Below are 25,830 nucleotides of genomic sequence, written 5' to 3' on the forward strand. Positions count from 1 at the left end.
TTTTAAACACTTTCTTGTCCTACTCTTATGTGAACCTTAGAAAAGCCCTGTAAGTTAGACCATTATTCTCTGTGGCCTCATGTGGAAAATAGACAATAATCTGATTTCCTGGAGAGATTAAGAGAGATTAGACATATATATGTTGTCCTTCAAACCTGATGCCATTTTAGAGTTCTCCATGTAAGAAGTTCCTGTCATTCTTACCTAGCCTCATATCTTCACATAGTTCAGAAATAACGTGTTTTCTCAAGCATATAACTTGGTCTTCTTATTTTCCTTAGGCCTTCAAAATGCATTGTCGACTTGTTTTCTTCTGAAGAACTGTTCCTGTAAACAGCTCCTAGCATTTATTGCAGACTAGCAGAGCAGTAAAAGAACTGCAGTTATTTCAGGCTAAGAATCTACCTCCCCTCACTGACTGTCTTTTGAGGACTTGGATATAAATCTGATTCTGTCTTGTAACCAAAATATGAGTTGCTTTGATTTTGTGAAATACAAGAGCACACTCAGTGTTCAAACTATTCCACAAAGAGAAAATATATTATCTGTGTTACTATCTAGTGTTCACTAAGAATCCAAGCTAAGTCAAAAGGCCAGGTATGGTTGGCATTTACTGTGAATTTATGAATCATCCATGATTTTGTTGCTGCTGCTTCTTATTCCATACTTGGCCATTGCCAGCAATGGGACTTTATACAGGTGAGTTGGCTGAGTTTCAGTACAATGCTCTGTTTAATTGTAAACATATATGCACTGGGTATAAATAGGGTGGTGTTTTGTACCAGGTATTTTTTTCAGGTAACCAGGTCAATAATAAATTATTGAGTGATATACTGTGATGTTTTTCAGTTTGTGGATTAATTTCACAAACTGCATGGAAGCAAAAAGCCTTGCTCTGTTATAACTCAAACAAAAGCCCACAGAAGGAGAGAAAGGATGCTGCAAAGGCTGGAGCCAGCCAGTTTGAACCGGCACTAGTTAGTAGTGACACAGAGAAAAGAGGTGGGACCAGCACAGGAAGGAGGAGCATTCACACTCAGAGGGGAATTACATTCAGCCACTGCCTCATTTCTCAGGTTCACTGTAAAGGCCATTTAGAGGATGTAATTTAACTGTGTGGTTATAGGCCTAATGTTTTCACAAACTTCTTATTCTTCTGTGAAGGAGACACAGAAGTAGCTGTTTGTGCTACAGCAGTGCTTTTTGCATTTCCCCTCCTGAGATTTGCTTTTTTCCCCCCTCCCATTTAGAACTGAATGTGGATACTGGTAAAATAGCATCCTTAGTTTTGGACATTTCCTGAGAAAAAAATGAAAACAAAACCAGCTTTTAGAGAATTTCTAAGATCATGGCAAGGAAAAGTACTTAAAAAAAAAAAAGTCTAAGCAGATAACACCATCCAAAGCAAATAAAACTCCTTCAAAACGATATCTAGTTACAATATTGTAGAATGTGCATAAAGAAACTCCATTTGCTCTAAATAAATAGAGACAGGATATCTTTTATAACACCTGGTGAAAATTAAAGTTACAAAAGACTTTCTTAAGTAAAGGCAGTCAAATTGATTAACATTATATGATCAGTCATGTGAATATTTAAAATACAAATAGCCATTTTTTAAAATGAGAATGACTTTTAAGAATGAGTTAAATTGAGTGGGCAAGAAGGTGATTATAGGTCTTCTGGTATCTTTCAAGCTCATCATTGTCAAATCAGTTCTGTCTCATTAATTTCAGGGTTTACTACTACTAGGCAGCAATCCAAAACTATTTAAAACCTGCTGGATGGTTTTCACTCTAGGAGTCACTGCCAACCCCATCCCCCAACCAAAAATACAGGGACTGGAGACAAAACTGGGAGAAATGTTTAACACAAACACTCTGCCATGCAGACATCCTTAGGAATTTGAAGATTCAGCAACTTTAGGGTAGATTCTCACCAGTTGAGTTCAGGTGCATATGAAATAAAACCCACAGCTAAGTTAGGCGTGTATGTTGATGTTTCATTTAGTAGATGCTATCCAGAATTAACTCATAATATTGTAATGACTTTGGAAGTCAATATGTGATGATACAATTGATTTTAAATTTTCCGTGGTAATTGTAGTCATGAAAAACCTGAATAATCTAATAATCTTATTTTAGACATCGGTTTCAATTTTTCTTCTCACAAAGCCTTATATTGGAGCAATTTGCAAGAAAACCATGTTCTTTATTCCTCCTCACTCTTTGGTAGATACCCATGGGGTAAGGAATTGTCCAGAAATAAGAGGTTGTACAAGAAGCCTATCTTATCTAAACCAAAAGTGAATAATTTGCATTGTTAACTAGCCACTTTTTCTTAGTTGTCGACTCATTGACACCGTACATTGGCCAAATATTTTATGAAAGCTAATCTGTACTGTAGCTTCAGAGTGCTAAGATGATAGCAAGTGAGTTTATGATGATCCCATAATCTTTGAAGAAACTTATGTACTGGACAATAAACTAACAATGCCAGGTAGTAATCAATTAAGAAAACTCTTAAGAGGCAGACACAATAAGGAGTTAATTCTGGAAAAACAGTGGACTAGGTGTATTTGGAAAAGGCTATAACTTGAGTTATTCCCTGGAAGAGGGGTCCCATTGGCTGAAAGGAGAGAGGAGAGGGAATAGTATGAAATAGTTATGGAAGATTGGAGAGTTTCTCAGGGTTAATAGTGGGTTCTGAGTTTGAGACTAGTGAGAAGCTTAAGTTTACAGATACAGTGGGGTCAGGTTAAAGATTGTAAAGTTAATCTTTTTCTAGATCAGGGATTAAAAACCCAAATGCCTTCTGGGGCCAGAGAAGCTACTTCAGCGAGGCTCTAGGGACTGGCAAAAGGGGTGGTAACAGGTGAATATGTGCCCTAAGAGGAAGCCATTATTTACCTCCACCTAATCATTCCTTATGGCAAGGACTTCTTATTTTTCAAGAGAAATTGATTATCTGAACGATTGTGTGAAGTACCTGGATTTTTAAAACACTAGGCAAATCAAACAAAACCCATTTTGAGGCAGATTTTAAACTACACCCATAACTATGTAGGAAAAGGGAGTCTTGGAGCTTTTTAGTCAGGCCAGAGATAATGATGAATACTTTAGGAAGGTTATCACAGTGGTTACCTATTGGTGATTTTGAATGGAAAAGACCTGTGGACCCAAGTCATAGACTCCAGGAAGCCTTTTCTGCCCCTTCTGCAATGAAGAGTTAGGAAGACATTTAAATAAGTAATCAGCAAGATTTGATGACTGACTAAACTGGCTGTCACATGTGTTCTTTAGGGTGCTTTGGCTAGGGGGACAGATTGTAGTTCTTTAAAGCTGGCCTTTCCCTGTCTCTCATAAAAGTATTTTTTGTCCACAATATCTGCACCACCTGCCTCTAGCCAGTGGTGGTGCCTCTACAACTTCACTTGTAATTGCTCAGAAAATTGAACAGTAAGGGGTGGGTGGGTGGGTTGGTTAGTTCTTAAGGTTCTTCTGAGATATGGGATGTAGTGAGAAAAGCTTTAACCACTCATCTTACAATCAGAAGACTTGGAATCAAGTCCCAATTTTGCTACTTCCTGGCCTTATGACCTTGGACAGATCACACACCTTCTTGAACCTGGCACATTCTTCCTTATCTTGGGGCTGTGGCACAAGCTGTGTTCCCTGACCTGCATAATCTCTCTCTTCACCTTTACCTGACCCTCACCTTCTTGTCCTTAAGATCACAGCTAAAATGTCACTTCCTCAGAGAGGCCTTCCATGACCTTCCCATCTAAAGTGGAGCTTCTATCAGTTTCCTTGGGCTAATGTAACAAATTACCGTAAACTGGGTGGTTACATGTCCAAATTCAAGATGTTTCCAGCAGCATCCTCCATCTAAAAAGTAGGGAAGAATCCTTCCTGGCCTCCTTCTAGCTGCTGGTGGTTCCCAGCAATCCTTAGTGTGCCTTGGCTTGCAGCTGCAACATTCCTACCCCTTCCTTTGTGGTCACATGGCCTTCTTCCCTGTGTGTGTCTGGGTCTCTTCACATGGCCTTCTTATAAGAACATCAGTCATTGGATTTAGAACCCACCTCACTTCTGCAAGACCTCATTTTATCTAATGACGTCTGCAAAGATTCTATTTCCAAATAAAGTCAACTTCTAAGGTTCCAGGTATACATGAATTGAGGTGTAGGGGGGGCACTATTCAACCCAGTACCAACCCCCTTTTTAAATTATCTTTATTGTATTTACTATATTTGTAGTTATATATTAATTTGTTGGTTTATCTTTCTAACATGGGAATTCTATGAAGGCAAGCTTTAAGTCCATTTTATTCATTTCTATATACTCAATGCCTGGATAATTTTTGATACCTAAAAGCTAACCAAAAAGTATTTATTTAGTACATTAAGTAATCTTTTTTCCCTCTGGCTAATTGTCTTCATTGATGAAATAATGGGGTTGGAATTGCTAGTCTTTAAGGTATTTTGCAGTTCCAGTAGTATGTGACTCTGTTTTTTACAGATGCCCAGTGACCCCAAGTTGCTCTGTGAATCAGGGCAGCAGGCATTTACATGTATACATTTTTTTATTATGATGATTGTACTGTACCTTCCCTTTAGGTCCTACTTGAAGAAAAAGAGGAAAAAATAAACACATGACATTGAAATACCAATTGGTTTGCCTGGTTTTGAAGAGAGAATTATAAAAGAGATAACCAAGGTTGTATATTCTGATTAAGTATAGTAAACACTCATTCTGTGTTATGTAGTAAATACACTAGAGATTATATAAACTGGACCCCAAATCTAAATGTATGTCAAGCAGTATTCACTTTTATGCTCAGACTGGCTGGTACCCAAAACACCTTTATACCTCAAATATTTTTTCTCCCATAGGAGTATAATATAACTCATTTTAATTTAAGAAGATGTAGGATGATTATTTCTCATGGAAGTTAATTTATTAGTTCGAATTATTTAATTGACAAACTGTTGGAAACATGTCATCAATTTTGACACTTTTCACAGTACAGTGTTGCTGAAACTCCTCTTTGGGACCTTTAAATGCTGTCAAGAAGAAAAATCCATTTAATTTTATTGCTGAGAAAATGGGAAGTCCTTTTGATTAAACATGATTTTGTTTGTATTTAATTCAGGAATATTTACTTTTTAAAATTAAATTCCAAAATTTCTAAGCACTTAAAAGATGACTCTGTGGTTAAATCGAAAATAATTGACTATATTAATATTTTTAGGCCATGACTAAACAAAAAGCTTGTCTGTAAACATATTTTATCTTACTAGAAATATCACCAACACAATCATGGTTATAGTGTTGATTACAGATGCCTTCAGTTCAATTCAACATATGTTTATAAATCCAGGCCCTCTTTAAATCCTGAGGTTAAAAAAGCAAAACCACAGGGCACTTCATGGCTAATGAACTGAATTTCTTCCTATTCCAAAAACAGATTTTTTTTTTTTGTTCTTCTCTGTTCTCTTTAATATTCTAAACTGGTTACTTCAATAACGAGAGAGGAAGACTGAGCCCACCAAAACTAGGAGGAGGCAAGACCACTTATTTCCCACCTTCCCAATCAAGTAAGCTGTGGTTCAAGCAGGGCTTCAGAGGGTAGCAGGGCTCCTGGGCCTCTAAGGGATGCTCAGTCACATGGACTTGACCAACACTGAGGGCATTGGTGAGAGACTTCCATAGGAGGGCATTGGCCAATCCAGGGCTTGTTTTCAACACAGCAGATTACTATCTTGGGGCCAAAAGACTAAAATCAAACTCCACTGAGGGAGGGTACTAGATGAGAAAGGGAGCAGTGGATGATACCTAATGCCTTCATCCTACAGATATTTATTGAACACCTACTCTGATGCAGAGCTTGTGCTGGGTGCTGAAGTTATCATAAAGAAATATAATAGTTTCAGCCAGACATAGTGGCTCACTCCTGTAATCCCAGCACCCTGCAAGGCTGAGGCAGATAGATCACTTGAGCCCAGGAGATTGAGAAGAGCATGGCGAAACCCTGTCTCTACAAAAAATACAAAAATTTGGTGGGACATGGTGGTGTGTGCCTGTAGTCCCAGCTACTCTGGAGGCTGAGATGGGAGGAGCACTTGACCCCAGGAGGTAGAGGTTGCAGTGAGACAAGATCTTGCCACTGTACTCTATCTAGCCTGGGTGACAGAGTGAGACCCTTTCTCAAAAAAAAGAAGGGAAGGAGGGAGGGAGGGACAATTAGCAGACTTATACAATAAGAAGTAATACAAGGAATATGATCAAGGATTATCTTCCGAAGGAAATGACGTTTGAACTGAGACAAATAAGATGGACAAGAACCACCTAGAAGGAGAATATCCCAGGCAAAGGGAAGAGCACGTGCAAAGAATCTAAAACAAGAAAGGGCTTGGTTTGTTCAAGAAAATGAAGGGACCGCAGTGCCGCAGCTGAGTGAGTAATGGGCACAGTGGTATAGATGATGAGGTGACAGAGTAGATAGGGCAAGATCATATAGGGCATTGCAAGATCATGGTAAGGCTTTTTAATTACATTGTAAGAATCACTCCATTAGTGGAGATGGACAGGTAGAACTTTGGCAAAAGATAACATAATGAATTGAGATTTGAACATAATCATTTTGCAATATCTGTGTGGCTATACTTATTGGTTGGATTTTTTTTTAATTTAATTTTAAGTTTCAGGATACATGTGCAGGACACGTAGGTTTGTTACGTAGGTAAACGTGTGCTATGGTGGTTTGCTACACTTATCAACCCATCATCTAGGTATTAAGCCCCACATGCATTAGCTATTTATCCTGATGCTCTCCCTCCCCCCACTCCCCACACACAACAGGCCCCAGTGTGTGTTGTTCCCCTCCCTGTGTCCATGTGTTCTCATTGTTCAGTTCCCATTTATAAGTGAGAACATGCGGTGTTTGGTTTTCTGTCCCTGTGTTAGTTTGCTGAGGATAATGGCTTCTAGCTACATCCATGTCCCCGAAAAGGACATGATCTCATTCCTTTTTATGGCTGCATAGTATTTCATGGTATATATGTACCACATTTTCTTTATCCAGTCTATCATTGATGGACATTTGGGTTGATTCCATGTCTTCGCAATTGTGAATAGTGCTGCAGTGAACATATGCGTGCATGTATCTTTATAATAGAATGATTTATATTCCTATGGATATATACCCAAAAATGGGATTGCTGCTTCAGATGGTATTTCTGGTTCTAGGTCTTTGAGGAATCACCACACTGTCTTCCACAATTGTTGAATTATTACATTCCCACTAAATGTAAATTATTACATTCCCACTAACAGTGCAAAAGTGTTCATATTTCTCCATAGCCTTGCCAGCATTGGTTGTTTCTTGACTTTTAATAATTGCCATTCTGACTGGCATGAGACGGTATCTCATTGTGATTTTGATTTGCATTTCTCTAACAATCAGTGATATCGAGCTTTTTCTTCATATGTTTGTTGGCCACATAAATGTCTTCTTTTGAGAAGTGTCTGTTCGTGTCCTTTGCTCACTTTTTAATGGGGTTTTTTTTCTCGTAAATTTGTTCAAATTCCTTGTATATTCTGGATATTACGTCTTTGTCAGACAGATAGATTGCAAAAATTTTCTCCCATTCTGTAGGGTTTAGTTTAATTAGATCCCATTTTTCAATTTTTGCTTTTGTTCTAATTTTTTTATGTTTTCATCATGAAATCCTTGATGAGTGGATTATTTTAAATGTTGATGTGATTCTCAGGAAGAAGTTGAAACGAAAATACAGGTGTAGACGGCATTAGAGTATTGATGGATGAAAGTGGGGATATAAAAGACATATGAAAGAAGGCCCAGAACACCAATATTTAAGGGAGGTAGGAGGAAGAGAAAGCAGGTCCTGAAATAGGGTGAGGAAGGTCAGTACAGGCACTCTACCTAAAAGTCTTATCAAACAAAGGTATGTTTATCCTCCAGGCACAGAGAATAATTTTTCAGAGTGAAACGAGAATCCACATGTCCTATCTCCCTATATCATCAATCATTGATGTTATTTTATGGCATAATGACATTAATATGTAGTTTAAATAAACATGATATTGAGCAACAAGTATTATAAAATGCAGATGAGTTTTAAAAGATTCAATGTGACACACACACTCACATGTAAACACAAAAGAAGTCTTTGGCAAAGATGTAGCCCCAGACTTCCCAGGAGAACTCAGACATTCATATCCTTTCCTTACAAAGGTGCTTGAGCAGAAATGTTTGAGATATACTAAATGAATTATGACTTATTCTATGCAGCTACTCCACAAGGCAGATATAATTAACTTGATTTTAAAGCTATCACTAATGAAGTTCAGAAAGTTAAGTAACTTCCCTGACATTATTCTGTTAGTTACTAGGTGATATTAGAATTTGAATCCAGGAGTCTGGTTCCAAAGTCTGAAATTTTTATGTTTTATAAGGAGGTGAGCTAGGAGCAAGCAAGTATAAAGAAAGAGGACATGGTCAGTAATATAAAATACCAAGCAGTGCGAGTAGGATGAGGACTAAAAGGTTATCTTGGCCTTAGGTGACCACGGAACCTAAGTTAAAGAACATTGAAGTATGTTGTATACCACAATGATATACAACTGTTCACCAACTAGAATGGCTAAGATTAAGAAGAACAAACAGTGGATAACATAAGTGTTACCAGTAGGAATATCTGCTTAACGTATAAACACATGGTATCCTATGACCCTTCAACTTTATTCCTAGGTAAATACCCAAGAGAAATGTCCCATAGAAAACAAGTAGGGATGGTCCTTGACTTACAATGGGGTTACATCCCAATAAACCTATAAGTTTAAAATGCATTAAATATACCTTACCTGTCAAACATCATAGCCTAACCTAGCCTACCTTAAACAAGCTCTGACACTTACATTAGCCTACAGTTGCACAAAATCATCTAACGCAAAGTCTATTTTATAATAAAGTGTTTAACATCTCAAATAGTTGATTAAGTATTGTACTAAAAGTGGAAAACAGAATGGTTGTGTGAGTACTCCAAGCACAGTTTCTACTGAATATGTATCACTTTTGCACCATCATGAAGTCAGAAAATTGTAAGTCAAACATCATAAGTCGGGGCCGTCTGTGTATAAAATATTTATTGCAGCTTTATTAACACTAGCATGAAATAGTAAACAACTCAGGTGTCCATCAGAAGTAGAATGGATACATTTTCCTGTATTCATTCAATGGAATACTATACGACAATAAAAAAAGTGAAATATTGCTACATGCAACAGTATGGGTTAATCTCACAGATACTTGTTAAGAGAAACCGGGCAGGAAATAGCACATACTACATGGTTCCATTTATATGAAGTTCATGAATAGGCAAAATTAATGATGATGATGCAAGTATACATGAATACTTTAGGTTTCAGGGTAATGAGAGAGCCTTGCAAGGTGTTAGAAAAGTTCTATACCATGATCTGGTTTGTGGGTCTATACTTTATATGGGTCTGTGTGTAAACTTTAACTATAATTTAAGGTGAGTGCACCCTACTGTGTGTATGTTAAACTTCCATCTAAAAAATTTTTAAGGTGATGATAAAGGGAAATCCCAGGTAGAAATTGTTTTAACAACTTTTCTGTTATGACCTTATAAAACTATTCGATCTTGCAAATCATGTAGTACATGTATTCCTCTTGATGACTATAAAATTAAAAATGAATGGGGAATTAGTAAGAAACATTATAGATATAGATGTTAGAGGTAATAAATGGAAGAGCAAGTTCCAGAATAAGTTACTGAAAGGACAGGTGGTGGGAAAAATAGAAAGAGGACATCACCTTCCCACTACAGGGAAATTCTCTAGGGGCTTTTTGCATAACAGAGTGCCCTTGCACATAATGGCTAGATTTGGTTAGAGTCTAATGCAAGTATTCTGAAATGCTTTTGAATGATAAGCCAGAAAGAAGCAAAAAAAATAAAATTATAGAATGTTAGAGCTGTAAGACAAGGTATATTACATTTCATCCAGCCCAACCCTCTTATTTTAAAATGGACTGTGTGCATTGACTCTTTGGAAGTGACTCAGTACAGTACAGAGTGCTCTGATGTGGTGTTTCTTTGACAAGGAAGGATGCCTTTACTGAAGTTTTGTTAATCATTTCCAGAATAATGCATGTTAAACATGAACTTTGTACAATGGTTTGTCCATGATCCCTATCAGCATCTTAACAATTGAATGTTTCTGAATGTCGGAGAACTGGAGATACATTCATTAAAATGTGGTACCCATTTCAATGAAAAATGTAGTAATGAACAGACTTTAAAGTACCATGCCACATCTTAAACTGCATTTATCTCCTGGATGAAAAGGAATGTCTTATTCCCACTTTAAGATATATTAGTATATCTCTCTTAGTGTATGTATATTGCTATATATCAATGCAATTACACTGTTCACTGTGGAGAGGAAGTATTCCAGGTGAGAAATAATAGTGGAAAGGGGTAAGGATGGACATATTTAAGAACTATTTTATTTATTTATTTTTGAGATGGAGTCTCGCTCTGTCATCCATGCTGGAGTGCAGTGGGGTGATCTCGGCTCACTGCAACCTCTGCCTCCCCAGTTCAAGAGATTCTTGTGCCTCAGCCTCCCGAGTAGCTGGGATTACAGGTGCCCGTCACCATGCCCAGCTAATTTTTGTATTTTGAGTAGAGACAGGATTTTGCCCTGTTGGTCAGGCTGGTCTCGAACTCATGACCTCAGGTGATCCACCCACCTTGGCCTCCCAAAGTGCTGGGATTACAGGCATGAGCCACTGCGCCCAGGCTTTAAGAACTATTTTAAAAATATAACTGATAGAATTTGAGAACCAATTATACAGGATAAAGAAAAAAAGGGAGTCAAAATTTTGAGTAACTTAAACCATTGAGTGATGCACAGATGCTGGAGTAGCGGGAGTACTTTAGTTGAAGGGGAACAAAATTTCAACTTGGCACCTTGTAGTGAGAGCTTAGGCTTGAGTATTTATCTCTGATCAACTTGCATAATAGTAAATGAATTATAAATAATGTTTTTCTGTTACCTGTATCTCTCTTTCTTCCTATGGATGATATGGCTAATTAAAAAAACAATGATGAATATTTCATATTATAGGTCACAACAAAGATAAGCCTCGCTCTTCTTTTATATCCTCATTCTCATTTTGCAGAGCAAGCAATTGTGTTATAAAATCTGTGGTGAAAACATAAAAACAATAGGCAAAAGGGAAGCTGGTATGTAACTCATGCCTTGATAATGGCATTTGCTCATTTTTGCATCTAGATGGTCCTCTCTTTCCAAGTAGGAAACATTTCATTGCTCTGTAATGTCGTCCGTATAGCCCACCTCAGTGCTAGGTAGTTTCTGCCTGCTAGGGAAGAACTAGTTTAATTGGATTGTAGAGAGGCAATAAGAATGCTTGTTTTCCAAAACTGAATTGGGGACAAGTCAGCATTCTGGATGATTTTTTAAGTAATACATGTTTTGAAGTTACCTGTGGTCATTTATTGAGGAAAGAGTGAATTACATTTCTGTAATTATTGTGGATTCTTGAAAATAGACAATAGGATTTTAATGATTTCCTGACATTTTTAAGTTTTAAACCTAATACCGTATGACCATGACTTAAATAGAGCCTAGTAACTAAAATTTTATTTTATTTTTTTCACTGTTTACTCCTAAAAACTAGCATTTTACTTACATTAATGCAATTTCTGTTTTATTAGGTGCCAGGGCTATCAGTAATTGACATGTACTATAGTTAATAATGTATTTGTTAAAGTAAATAACTTTTAATGGGGCTACCAATAAGTGAATGTCTCCAATTCAAACTTAAATTTTAAATCATAGGTTTGTAAATATTTCTAAATAAGTTAGAATACTGCATATAACAAATGTTTATTCAACAACTATATAGTAATTATCAGATCTTAGCCAATATGCTCAGTACTAGAGATATGTCAATAAATAAGATCCCTGCCCTCAAAGTGCTTAAAATCTGAACTTTGATTCATGAAATCCAAGTTATAAAGAGTTGACGCTATTTTTAAGATATAAATTATACTGTATATAAAGCTATATTAATTTTTCCAGACAATAGCTAAATTGCCATAATACTGTCATGCAAATCAGTGGGAATACTGATAAAGCTCAGTTATTTGTAATTATTGAAGTAAGAATTTTCTCTAAAGACTGAAGACTGGAATTTCTACAGATGTAAAATAAATAAAAGTTGTATGTGGCTGTCCAAAACTTCATTATACTATTTATATTTGCCCATAGTCTGCATTGTACTTTTAAAATTCTTTCTCTCTTTTTAGTACTGGTTGTCACCACTGCCAAGATAGTGCCTCCACTGCTAATTTCTATGACCTGCTGCTACCACCTCCACCTCCCTCTGTTTTCTCTCTGACTTTCTTTTGATTTCTGCCACTTCTCCAGAGAAAATTCACCTTCATTCAAAACAACTGATTGTCTATGGGTGTTCTTAGGCAGTTGGCATGCTCTTTTCTTTCTGATCAGCCAATTGTGGAATACCATTAGTTATCTTTGTGCCCTTTTCATCTTTATTTCTACTTGCTGTTCAAGAGTACTACCTTTGTGTTAAAATTCATTTATGATGGAGGGAGGGGGTCATGATAAACACTGGAGTCTGTGGAAGGATGGGCTATCTTGACATCTGGAGCATTCTGGATACTTGAAGTTGCTGAAAGGCTGATCTATAGATATCCAGGACATGTAATATGATTAAAGTACAGTTGAGCTTCCAGAAGTCCTTGTCTTACTCCAAATATTATTTTATGACTTAGGAGAACCAAATTTTCTGTTTGGGACTTGAACTCAGGTGAGCTGTCTGTATAGATAGTAATAAGTGAAAAGTATTCAAATCTCCTCTAAAATTTCCGCCATTAGATTCGGAAGTGAACTTTTATGTAGATCTTGACTTGTCTCTCTTGATTTGCCTTGTTTTCTTCCACACAGTACTCCTTTATTTTATTTCCTATTTGCTACTGGATTGTCTGTATCAGGACATGTTTTTTTAAGATAACCACTTGAATTTTCTGTTGATAATTGTTTTGTCACCTATTTTGTCAGTGCGAGAATATAAATTTTAGTGTTCACATAAAAGGAAAACCAGTTTAGTGATTATTCATTGAAAAGACCACAATTTTACTCACCAGTGAGGTTCATTGGTTAGCTTGGACCAAGTGTACGGGAACACTGGTATTAACAGAAATATTTTTGAAAGCCATGTGAAAAAATCTCAATTGCATCTCCATTAATTCAAAGAACTCATGATAGCCCTTGTTTGAGTTTCAGAAGTTTTCGTAAAGCAGCATAATGGCAGCAGAGAATAGCAAAAAGAGAACTGAGCTGAGGTCAGGTAAGCCCAATGCAAGTTTTGTCATTGGTTAGCTGTCAGACCTTTGTTACCTTTGCTATCACACAGGGACAATAACATTATAAGACTATTATAGGGATTAAAATGAAATAACCTATCTGTAGAAATCACAGAAAGCCTACCACACTGTAAGAATACAATAAATGTTGATTACTTCCCTCCTCATTTAGTTGAGTCAAAATATTACTCAGTGTTCCCACAGCGTTCAATATTTTAGGACAGTTCTGGAATTTATATGCTTCTTTCTCCAATTCTGGTAATACTGGATTTTTTTGAAGGATCTAGTTTATTTTTATCAGTTTGCGAGTTTTTTGTTTTGTTTTGTTTTTTAACTGACCTACTCAGATAATGAAGACTCTTAACAATTCATAAATGTCTTGATATTTCTTCTCTAACAGTCACACAAAATAAAAACAGCTCTTGAAGAAAAACAATTCAAAGTTTAAAACATATAAAAATTTAGGTATTTAATGTAATTTGAAGTAAAAGTTTGAATTGAAAATAATTATAAAACTAATATGTGCCATTTCTTTGTAATAATTGTTATAATTTTCTTGCATAATTCTTAAAGGGGAAATGGTGCAAAGAACAGCATAATAGTATGGTAATGGTTGTAGAAAATTTATTTCATTTTTCATTCCTTAAAAATCTAGATAAAAGATAGGAACTGTTTTCTTTAAAAACCTGTAGGCATGTGTTTTATTTTTAAATGTTAATCAAATTTATGCTATACTCCTTTATTTTAACTATGCCAATGGACTGATCAAATAATTACCAATAGTGATTAAAAAGGACTTTCTATATTTAAACAAATATTAAGGTAACTAAGGGGTAACTCAGCTAACGTGGCTTTTTAATGATAACAAAATATATTAGATATCCACATGTCATGTAAAACCTTGTGTAAAATATTGGGCTGCTTTTCCCAGCCTTGCTTTTTTTTTTTTTTTTTAACATCCTATTTATAAAGATTAAAAAGCCTGTGGGTGAGAGTGGGGGATGAAATTTAGTATCCCTTAAAGCACTTTGCTAATGCTTTGATTTGTATATATGTGCTCACTAAATGTTGGATCTGTATGGGTTAGCATATTTTCTATTATACGTTAGAAAATACTAATTCACTTTTTTAAATAGCTGAATGAGATATGAAAAGACAGAACTGGTGAGTTAGTAGCTGCTGCTTTTTAGGCATGCCATACTATCAAACCAAGATAGAACATTTTAAGTAAAAACATTTGAACAAAATCCTAAAGACATATAAAGGAAGTCACTTTATGAAAAATATAACTGCCTTTCAACATCTTTACCTTTTCTCGTACTTGCTCAAATTATGACTATGATGCATTATCTATAAACATAAAGTCTAAAAAGTATAAACATTTGATATATTTGTGCATATGTTGCATTTTCTTTTATTATTTCTATTCCTAGTATAATTCAATTTAGGCCAAAATGTTGAGTTTAGTCATGATTTTATATTTCCATAGGTTAACTTGAGACATGTAAACAAGTAAGTTATTTATGTGCTATATAATCCTCTACCTACTAGGATATTTACTTAATAGTAGTTTTGTGGCTTAGGAAGCAGAGTAATTAATTAGAGTGAATTAATGGCACACACTGGTTGCTATGTTTCTGATTTGCTTTGGACTGAATCTTTATGTTCCTCAAACATTGTTTCTGCCATTTAGCAGTTGCCTAACAGAGTGATGGTATTTGGAGATGGGGCCTTTATTTGGGAGGTAATTAGGTAATGACAGTGAAGCCCTCATGACCGAGATTTGTGCACTTAGAAGAAAAGACCAGAGAGAGCTCGCTTTTTCTCTCTCTGTTCTCTGCCATGTAAGGACATAATGAGACGATGACCGTCTGCAAACCAGGAAGTGGGTCCTCACCAGACACCAGATCTTCTGGCACTTTGATCTTGGACTTTCCATCCTCTAGAACCATGATAAATAAACGTTTGTTGTTTAAGCTACCCAGTCTCTGTAATAACATTTGTCATAACAGCCCGAACTGACTCAGACACATTTCTTCCTCATTGATGAGCAAATAAACCAAAATCATAATATTTTTCTTGCTTTCTGTCTGAAAATAATGCATTTCCCAATTTTGTATTCCAAAGACCTGTATATTTTATTGTCTATACTTCTGGCCTGCTGCCCCAAAGCAGAGAGTCCTTTATATGTTTGTTTATTCAAACATCCCAGGCCTTCTCAAAATAACCCCCAACCTGAAATAGAATGTGATTTAAAATAACAGAACCTTGGCTCTGGAATCAGGCATGTGGCAAGCACACAGAATATATTTGTTGATGGAATGAATGAATGATTAGATAAAGGAATGAAAAGATCTGATTTGTAAAATGCTCTCATATTGAAATACTTTCCCCCTCTTTTTTTATCTTTTTATAGGTCATGCAACACTTTTGTACTTGGGAAAGTGTTCTAACTAAAGCAATTATGCAATAAAAGTAGTCTTTGATGTTGGCTTCTCTGTCAACTTTATGTTGGATAAAATATTTGGGAATTCTGCTCTGTAGTTAAAAATATACGTGTATGTAGCAGGGAAATGATAACTCTCTCAATAATTAAGGACAAGCAATCATATCCTCGATGTAAAATGGGAGGAATAACAATTTTTTTTAATTTATAAGAAACAGCTAGTGTCACTGCACTTAGAGAAAACACATTAATTTCTTTTATGTTGTCAGGCAGAGAAAGTATAAACTTTGGAGGTTGCACAGTAAGGTTAGGCAATGGCCTGTGAGTTAATAAACACTATTGTTAGATTTATATAGAATTTTATTAGTCTTGCTCAGTTTCTCTTCAATTCCATCTAACAAGGTTTCCTTTCCAGCTTATATGTATGCTTATCTAAGTCCAAGGAATTCCATAAGAAAGTTGAATCAAAATATTTTCAATTGATAACTTATGAAGCAAAAACAGCAATTTCCCATTATATATTTCAAATAAGTTTACTGTACAATTTTGAAGTGACTGTAGAGTCTGAATTGTATTCAGACTATGTATCAGTTGTATTCAGATTCTGGCCATGTATCCACTACCAAAATAAAATGAAAAAATGAACATGGTTTTGTCACAAGTTAATTGTTCAACAACAATAATGACAACAACAAAATTATCTAAAATCTGAATTTTCTGAGTAACGACTCAGTACCATCAGTAAAGTAGTAGAATACAAACCTTAGTGTGCTATCTATGTAAAGAATTTAATTATGTTCACTCCAGATATAGAGACTGTTTTGTTTCCACAGAATTCGTAAACTGTCATTACAGAACTGAGAAATGTGACTTTGAAAATCCAAATCTACGTGTAAAATTTAGTTCAACCTTTGTAATATTCAAATGATCTTGATGTTTCAGCTTGATATTTCAGCCAGCCTTTGCACTCGTTGTTCTTCCTTCAAATGAAGGTACTTTATGTACTTCTAGAGAATCTCCTATACAAACAGGAAGTATGAGTATGTGGCTTTAGTGATTTTTGGAGTACATGCTAGCATCGGTGATTTTAAGTGGTTATTTTAAGTATTAAAAGTGGTTAGAAGCACAGGCTTTGGAGTCAACAGACTTGGCTCAAGTCCTGAATCTGTTGTATCTTAGGCATAACTGTGTGACATCTGTGGAAAGAGCTGTAATGTTAAGATGCTATCAATAACAGCAAATGTTAAGATTTAGTATTGACAGAATATTCCTGACAATTAAATATTCTCTTAAGGGACTGAGTAGAAACACTAGTGAAAAAGATGCTAGCCCAGAAAAAAAAAAGTAAACATGCTATGTGGGCACAAGGTAATGAAGAAAAGATACAGAAAATGCAGGAAACTAAGTATGGCATTATTCCAAGTGGCACATCATCCAGGCAATCTCTACTAAGCATAATTAAGCAGGAAAAAAGTCTTTCCTTAGGTCTGTGCCCTTGGCAAATGTATTTACTTTTATTAAGCCTCAGTTTCCTTCTCTATGCAATAAAAAAGAAGTGATCTCTAAATTGCATATATTATTTAAATATGATGAAATAATATCTCTAGGGCCTTTAGCACAGTACCTGGCACATGAAAACCATTCATTAAATGGTAACTATTATTATTGTTGCTGTATTTCTTATAAAAATAAATTAGTACTTCTTTGGCTGTATACCAGATGAAAAAGACTAGTCTTGGTGTTAATGACTCATAAAGATCTGTTTCTCAGAAGATGGCTTTTTAAAGAAAAGAGAAAAAATAAAAGCATATTAAAATACCTCTATAAAAATTCTGTAGTGAGGGCTAATTTTGCTTCCTTTTTCTAATTTCAACTGTTTATATATATATATATATTACATATAGTATATATATAACATATATGTATATATTTTAACTATATATGTTATATATTTTACATATATGTATATATAAATATATGTGTATATATATTACTATATGAAGTTTTTCCTAGTATCAATCTATTTTAAAGATAATTAACTATTGAAGAAAAAATAATAGCAAAGTAGTGTGAGGTTTGCAACATATATAAAAGTAGAATATATGCCAGGAGATCAGGAGAGAAAATAGTAAAGTATGTTATTGTGAGGTTTTCATGCTATATATGAAGTAGTATACTACCAACCAATGTCTTTCATAAACATAGATGCAAATATTCTTAATACAATGTTAGCAAGTCAAAAGGATAATATATCACAACAGAATGATAGCTATCCCAATAATGCAAGGATGACTTAAAATTCAAAAATTAATCAATGTAATTAATAACAAACTAAAATAAAAATATTTTTTATTTGGGAGGCTGAAGCAGGTGGATCACCTGAGCTCAGGATTGCAAGACCAGCCTAGGCAACATGCCAAAGCCCTGACTCTACAAAAAAAGAAAAAATAAAAAAATTAGACAGGCCAGTGGTGCATGCCTGTAGTCCCCAGCTACTTCTGAGGCTGAGGTGGGAGGATTGCTTGAGTCCAGGAGGATGAGGCTGCAATGAGCCAAAATTGTGCCACTGTACTCTGTCCTGGGTGACAGAGCCAGACCTTGTCTCAAAAAAAAAAAAAAAAAAAAGAAAAGAAAAGAAAAAGGGAAAAAGAAAAAGAAATATTTTGGATAATTTCAATAGGGAAATATAATTAACAAAATTTAATATCAATTCTCAATAAACTCCCAGCAAACAGCAAAGTAAGAATAGAAGGAATGGTCTTAACCTAATAAAGGTATCTATGAAACTATGTAACTAACATCATACTTCTATTTGTTTGCTAGGGCTGCCATAGCAAAGTAACACAGACTGGATGGCTTTAACAACACTAATTTTCTCACAGTTTGGAGGCTAGAGTCTGAGTTGAAGGTGTCTTCAGGGTTGACTTCATTCTGAGGCCTCTCTCCTTGGCTTTTAGGTGGCCATCATCTCCCTTTGTCTTCACGTGGTCTTTCTTCTGTGCATGTGCGTGTCTGTGTCCAAAATTTTCACCTCTTGTAAGGATACCAATCATAATGGATTAGGACCCATTCTAAAGACCTCTTCTTAACTTAATTACCTCTTTAAAAACCTTATCTTCAAATACAGTTACATACTGAAGTACTGGGGTTTGGGACTTCAACATGTGAATTTGGAGAGGAAACAATTTAGCCCATAACAATACTTAATGCTGAAAAACTGAATGCTTTCCCCCTAAAATTAGAAACAAAACAAAGATGTTCATTTTTGCCACCTCTATTTAATAGTGTGTGTTTATGTGTGTGTGCATATATTTTTCCCAGCAAGTACAATAGGCAAGATAAGACAATTAGAGCTTTCTAATTAGCAAATAAGTAAAACCCTATTTATATAGAGATGACATGATCCTATATTTAAAATACAATGTTATCTACAAAACAGCTCCTCAAACTAATGTGATTCTGTAACTTTACAGGGTACAAGATCAATATATAAAAATAAATTTTATTTCTATGTGTCAGGAAGGAATGATCAGAAACTAAAATTTAATAAAAATATCAATTACAATAATATCAAACATATAAAAGAATTAGGGGTAAATCTTTTTTTTTTAATGTGTGAAGGAGGTATATGTGGACAACTACAAAACACTGCTGAGAGAAGCTAGAGAAGACCTAAATAAATGGAGAAAGACACTGTATTCATGAGATGCAAGAGTGGATATTGTTAATATGTCAGTTCTCCCCAGATTGAAATTCAGCTTTCTTTTGTAGAAATTGACTACCTCATCATAAAAGTCATATGGAAATGCAAATGACTAAGAGTAACCAAAACAACTTTGGAAAAGAATAAATTAGAACCTAACACTACCCTTTTCAAGAAATATAGCTACAGTAACCTAGATGATGTAGTATTGGTGTAAACATAGACAAATAGATCAAGGGAACAGATTAGAGAGTCCAGAAATAGACTCCCACATATATAGGCAAGTATCCAAAGGCAATTTACTGGAGGAAAGATGAGTCTTTCAACAAATGGTGCTGAAAAAAATTGGTACATTATTTTGGAAAAAAATCAAAATAATTATGCTGAGTGAAACAAACTAGACACAAAAGAGCACATATGCCTATATTTATATAAAATTTAATAGATGCAAACTAATGTATTAGAAATAGATCAGTGTCTGGGCGCAGTGGCTCACGCCTGTAATCCCAGCACTTTGGGAGGCTAAGGTGGGCAGATCACGAGGTCAGGAGATCAAGACCATCCTGGCTAACACGGTGAAACCCCGTCTCTACTAAAAATACAAAAAATTAGCTGGGCATGGTGGCGGGCACCTGTAGTCCCAGCTACTCGGGAGGCTGAGGCAGGAGAATGGCGTGAACCCAGGAGGTGGAGCTTGCAGTGAGCCGAGATCGCGCCACTGCACTCCAGCCTGGGTGACAGACCGAGACTCATCTCAAAAAAAAAAAAAAAACAAAAAACAGATCAGTGTATGCCTAGGGTGGTAGGGGTGGTGGTGGTGCAGAGAGGTACTACAAAAGGCAGGAGAAAACTTTTGGGGCTGATGCATGGGTTCATTATTTTCATTGTGATGATGGCTTCACAGGTGCAAAAACCTATTAAGTCAAATACTCTAAATGTGCACCTTTTATTGTCTGTCAATCATACATCAATAAAGCTGTTTTTTAAACAAACACCTACTATGTTCAAACTCGATAGAATTCCGTACAGGATGCTTGCCGTGTTCTCTTTTTTACAAAAATGTACTTTAAAATAATTATAAGAATGGATAGGATCAAATTGTTTTTAAGAACTTGACAGTTTTCGAAGACATTAAAATTAATTTTATTTAAAACGAGATTTATAAGAAAAATTATTACAATAAAATCTTATTTTAAAAATTCAGAGGAGGAAAAGTTTGTTTATGATTGAAAGGAATAACCAGGTATTAAAAAGTAGGAAAGTCTAGGAATCTGCCGTGATCAGAGTAAGCAGGTAGAATTTCCAGTTATTCATGACAGAGTTCTACCACGTTTTGAAAGGTAAACATGAGTTCAACCTGGGAAGATGAGAAAAAGAAATTCTAGATAAAAGGAAGAGGAAGAACAAAGGCAAGAGTCAAGACATGAAGAAGTATGTTTAGGGAATAGCAGTAAATGCATTTGGATAGAATGGTGTACGAAGAGTCTTATGGAAGATAAACTTAGCAAGAGAAAGTGGGGCAGATGGGACTTGGGTTTTCTCTCTGAAAATTTCTTTGAATCCCCACAAGCAGCGCTAATACTCTCATTCTCCTAATACTCTGCATTCTCCTAATATTTTGCTCCATACCCTGCTACAATACTTGTCACATTTTATTGTATCATGTGTCTAGCTTCACCCTTAGGCACCCGTCTATTAGAAAGAACTACATTTGGCTCATTATAAATGCTCGATAACAAAATGCTCCCACTTTAAAAAATAGGATAGTCTAGGTATCTGCCATGATCAGAGTAAGCAGGTAGAATTTGAGCTGGTCCTTTAAAAACTGACTAGTTTTGGCCGCGCGCAGCGGTTCACGCCTGTAATCCCAGCACTTTGGGAGGCCGAAGCGGGCGGATCATGAGGTCAGGAGAGCGAGACCATCCTGGCTAACACGATGAAAACCCGTCTCTACTAAAAATACAAAAAATGGTGGCACGCCCTGTAGTTCCAGCTACTCCGGAGGCTGAGGCAGGAGATTCGCTTGAACCCGGGAGGCGGAGGTTACAGTGAGCCAAGATCGTGCTACTGCACTCCAGCCTGGGTGACAGAGGGAGACTCCGTCTCAAAAAAAAAAAAAAAAAAAAGGGGGGGTGGCGGTCATTTCAAGAATAATTTTATAGGGAAAGGAGTGAGAGTATCCGTAGTAAACTGAGGGAGGAGGGTGTATATATTAAGGAGCACTGAGAATTGAGGTTTATAGGAAAACTAATATTTATCATTAGTTGTTATTTAGCCCAAGCAAGCGGGGACACATGCTGTATATTTAAGTTTTCTAAAAAGTATTTACTCTTCATTTCCTTCGTTGGCTGGCACAGTAGAGCTCTAAGCAATCAGAATAAGCAGAGAATTTTATAAGTCATTTTAAAAAGAATATCTCAAATACTTTTTGGGGGAACTATATTTATTTTTCTTTTCTCTTAAGTTGTGTATATGTTATATAAAAATGGAATTGAGAATAGTATTATATTTGCTCTTGGCATTATATTTGATTGTCATTATGAGCCTGTGGTGGGCCATGGAGTAAAACGAATTGAGAAACAGTGACCTAGAATGTTAGCACTTCGAGAGGGGACTGTGCTCGATTTAGCTTTGTAGGCAGTAGCATGGTGCTCAAGAAAGAATGCTGCTCCTGCAAATCAGGATACCAGAATTTGAATCCCAATTTAAATTTAAAACTTGTTTAAGGACCTTTAAACATGTTAATTATCCTATAGTTCTTCCTTCGTTATTTACTAAATTGGGATACAAACAATAATAGTTTCACATCATTAATATGTGAGTTATACACAAAAGAACGAGGGAAAACATGTAGCGCCATGCTGGTATACAGCAGTTTTCTGTAATCATGTACTTCATCTTGCCCAGCACAATACTTTGTAGATAGAGGGTACTTAAGCACTCATTCATACTGAATAAATCAATGTATGAACAACTGAGAACCTTTGAAAAATTCCTTTTTTCTGTTCATGTTCAACTTAATGCTTTCAGAGAACTGACTGTGAAAATAACCTTTTTTCTGGTAATCTCTATGTGTTTGAATAAAAGAACAATGGTGAAGCTCCATCTATTTTTAGGTTATGTAGCCTTAAAAATGAGAAAGCTAAATATGCTGGGAGATTTTATTTATTTTGTTTTCTTGGTCTCATTTTATTTCTGTCTTAAATTAAGTTAATGAAATTTTGGGTAGGCCTGGTCACATTTAATACCTAGTTCTCCAAGTATTTTTTGTGCATCCCTTTTATAGCAGTGTGCAATGTGACAGCTCAGCCTCCTCTTGCTGACTAATCTCCTGTACAGACAGAAGCAATTCCCATAATTCAGATAATAACCTGGAACAACTTTCATGATTTACAAAAGTAGATTTGTAACTGATCTTCTTATAATTTAGAAAAGGAGATTAGAGTGTAATAAAATATCAAATCATAGCTTAGGAATAGAATTTTGGATGTTAAAACTATTCTGAAAGTAAATACAGTTTTAAACAAGAACCTGTACTGATTTAATTGCTTCAAAGAAAACATATTGAAAAAGAAAAGAATTATTTAAGTTAGCATATACTTATAAATAGTTTCATAGAATGTTTAAAGCTAAACATATTCAATTATAATTTGGATTACACTATTCTATTACATAACAACCTACATAAGTTGATTAGAACAAAACTACGAAGTAAACTTCAACACAATCCATATAATAGAATCTGAATTAGAAAGGCTTGAATTTATTGTATGTAAATTTATGAAGACTTTATGGAAATAGATGCACCTTTGTAAAAAGACAGAACATGAAATGTTAAAATGATTGCTTTTTTATCCTTTATTTATTTATTTTTGCTAAACCATACCATACTCTTAAGTCATAGTTCCAGTGCTTAGTGCATAGAAGGTGTTCAAGGAATAATTGTGGAATTTAGGAAGGTTTAATTTCTGACCTATAATAAAGGTCAGAATAAATGGTAAAATTAGACAAAAAAGTCAAGGAAAATATAAGCATAATCTCTAATAATTCAAAAGCTATGTTGTGGTGCATTCTAGAAAGGTGAATTTGTGGACTTTTTTTTTAAGGGAACTCATTTGTATCAGATTGTCAGGAAATAATGTTACATAAATTTCTATTTTCTGCTTTAAATGCTGGCATGCGTTCTTTTTAATAGTGTGTATTACAAATGCACCAAATCTAGGGCTAAGTAAACAGAAAGTTGAATCAAGGTACTTCTCATTTTAAAAATTGTTCTGGAGTCTTGGAGTAGAAAGGGACTTTGGAGTTGATTTTTCCCAACTTCCTTCTATTATTGATGAGGGAAGTAGAAGGGGAAAATGACTCGTTCACTGTCTGTAGCTTGAAAAAAAAGATTTTTTAAAAATCTATACTTGATCAGGCAGGCACAGGAAGGTACTTAATGAATAGTTTCCAAGAAGAGTCACTTCGGCATAAGAGATACATATTGTAGATTAATTTACAGGCAATATCAATTATAGTAATAAATTATTGGTGATTATTAATAATTATTAATTTTAAATTAGCATGTTGGGTCTTATGTAATTGACTGAGGAATCAGGTTAAGGTGCATCTTTCATTGTGAAATTGAGATTTTGGGAACATGCAAAGCCTCACTGCAGATCCTAATGAATTTACCACAGGGATGCTGCCCTACCAATACACTTGAGTAGAAATTTTCAAGGGGAGTTGAGGGACATGTCCTTGGTAACAAGAGGATTGGGGAAGGGTATATTTCACTTGAAATTTAAACAACATTTTGTTCCATGGTCTTATTTATTTTTGGGCACATTATTGTTTTTTTAATAAATTCAAATAGCATTAAAAGCATTCATGTTTTCTTTTTAAAAGTTAAGAGGTTTTAAGGCATAAGTCAACTAGTTTTTTCCTCTGTCCTTTTGGAATAAATCATTCATTCTTTTAATAAACGCTTATTGATCATCTCTATATTCCAGGCATAGTGGTACCCTCTGAAAATACAGTCAAAAAGTTGATTCCTGTCTATAAGGGGGAGCCAGAGTTTATTCATTGAGAATTTACAGCAGAATATTATTGCTCCAAGTTTCCCCCTGCCATCTACACTCATCATTGCAATATTTGACACAGTAGTCATTTATTGGAGAAAATACAAAAAGATAGAAATCACAAAGAGTCTTTCACTTCACTTGCTCATTACTCAGCAAGTATTTATTGAGTACCTATCATGTGCCAGTCACTGAGCTAGGTGCTTGGGTTCCATTAGTGAGTAAAACAGTCAACGATCCTGTCTTTGCAGGGATTATATTCTAGGAGGTGAGACTAATAGCCAAAAAAAAAAAAAAATGCAAATTACAAAGCATGTTAGAAGGTGATGTGTGCTGGTTAAAAAAGAGAGAGAGAGAGTGAGAGAGAAGTAGAGTTAGGGGAATTATGTGTGTGAGAAGGAAATTTAGTGTGGTCAAGAGAGGCCTCATTGTGACTTTTGAACAAAGGCTTGAAGGCACTTGAAATAAAAATCCAAAAATTAGGATAACCATAGAATTTGAATTTTTAAACTCATTTTAAGTCTATTTTGTTATCTATGTTACTTCCTGGCAAGAGGCTGCAGGTGATGGTAAAGTCAAGGATTTTATTTTTCTTTCTTTTCTCTCCCATTAGCTTTGATTTTCACAAGGAGTGGCATTTCCACTATTTTCTACTTTGCTAAAATAAATGTATTTCATGGGATTTTTGTTCATCAATGATAAGAACAAGGTTTACTTTGAGAATTTTCTCTTGAGAGCCTAGAGCAACATGTAGCATAATTTCATATCATGCGCTGTTTCTTAGAAATATAAAAATCCATATATTGCCATTTTTAGAATGACTCTTAGTCATATCAGTTTGGGCAAGAAGTCAACTTACTTTCACATGGAATCACTGAGTCATAGATTTAGATAAGAAAGCAGTTTACTTTCTTAATATTCTTCATCGATTTTAGCATATTTTAAAAATAGAAGTATCTGTTTCTTACAGATTCTGTTTCTGGCGTCTGCATACGCAAGTCCCCAACTCGCTGAGGAGAGCTGTTCAGCTATGGCTGCTGTCACACATTACCTGTATCTTTGCCAGTTTAGCTGGATGCTCATTCAGGTTGGTACCTCATTCCCTCTCCCCGCCCCTTTAATCTTTTAATGAATCTGGGTGGAGTGGTCTTAATGT

At 35.3% G+C, this 25,830-nt stretch overlaps 1 protein-coding gene across 12 annotated transcripts in view; it reads left to right on the top strand.

Annotated features, from left to right (window-relative positions):
* ADGRV1 (adhesion G protein-coupled receptor V1) overlaps positions 1 to 25,830 on the top strand; it is a 605,641-nt gene that overhangs the window by 380,974 nt on the left and 198,837 nt on the right. For all 12 annotated transcript variants that reach the window (NR_003149.2, XM_017009963.3, XM_017009969.3 and 9 more), the window contains one exon: positions 25,645 to 25,761. Coding sequence is in view for 11 of the 12 variants with exons in the window: in XM_017009963.3 (XP_016865452.1) it covers positions 25,645 to 25,761 (117 nt within the window). In the remaining variant the exon portion in view is untranslated. The remainder of the gene's footprint in view (positions 1 to 25,644; positions 25,762 to 25,830) is intronic.

Source organism: Homo sapiens, chromosome 5, assembly GCF_000001405.40.
Source record: "Homo sapiens chromosome 5, GRCh38.p14 Primary Assembly".
NCBI classification, from domain to species: Eukaryota; Metazoa; Chordata; class Mammalia; order Primates; family Hominidae; genus Homo; species Homo sapiens.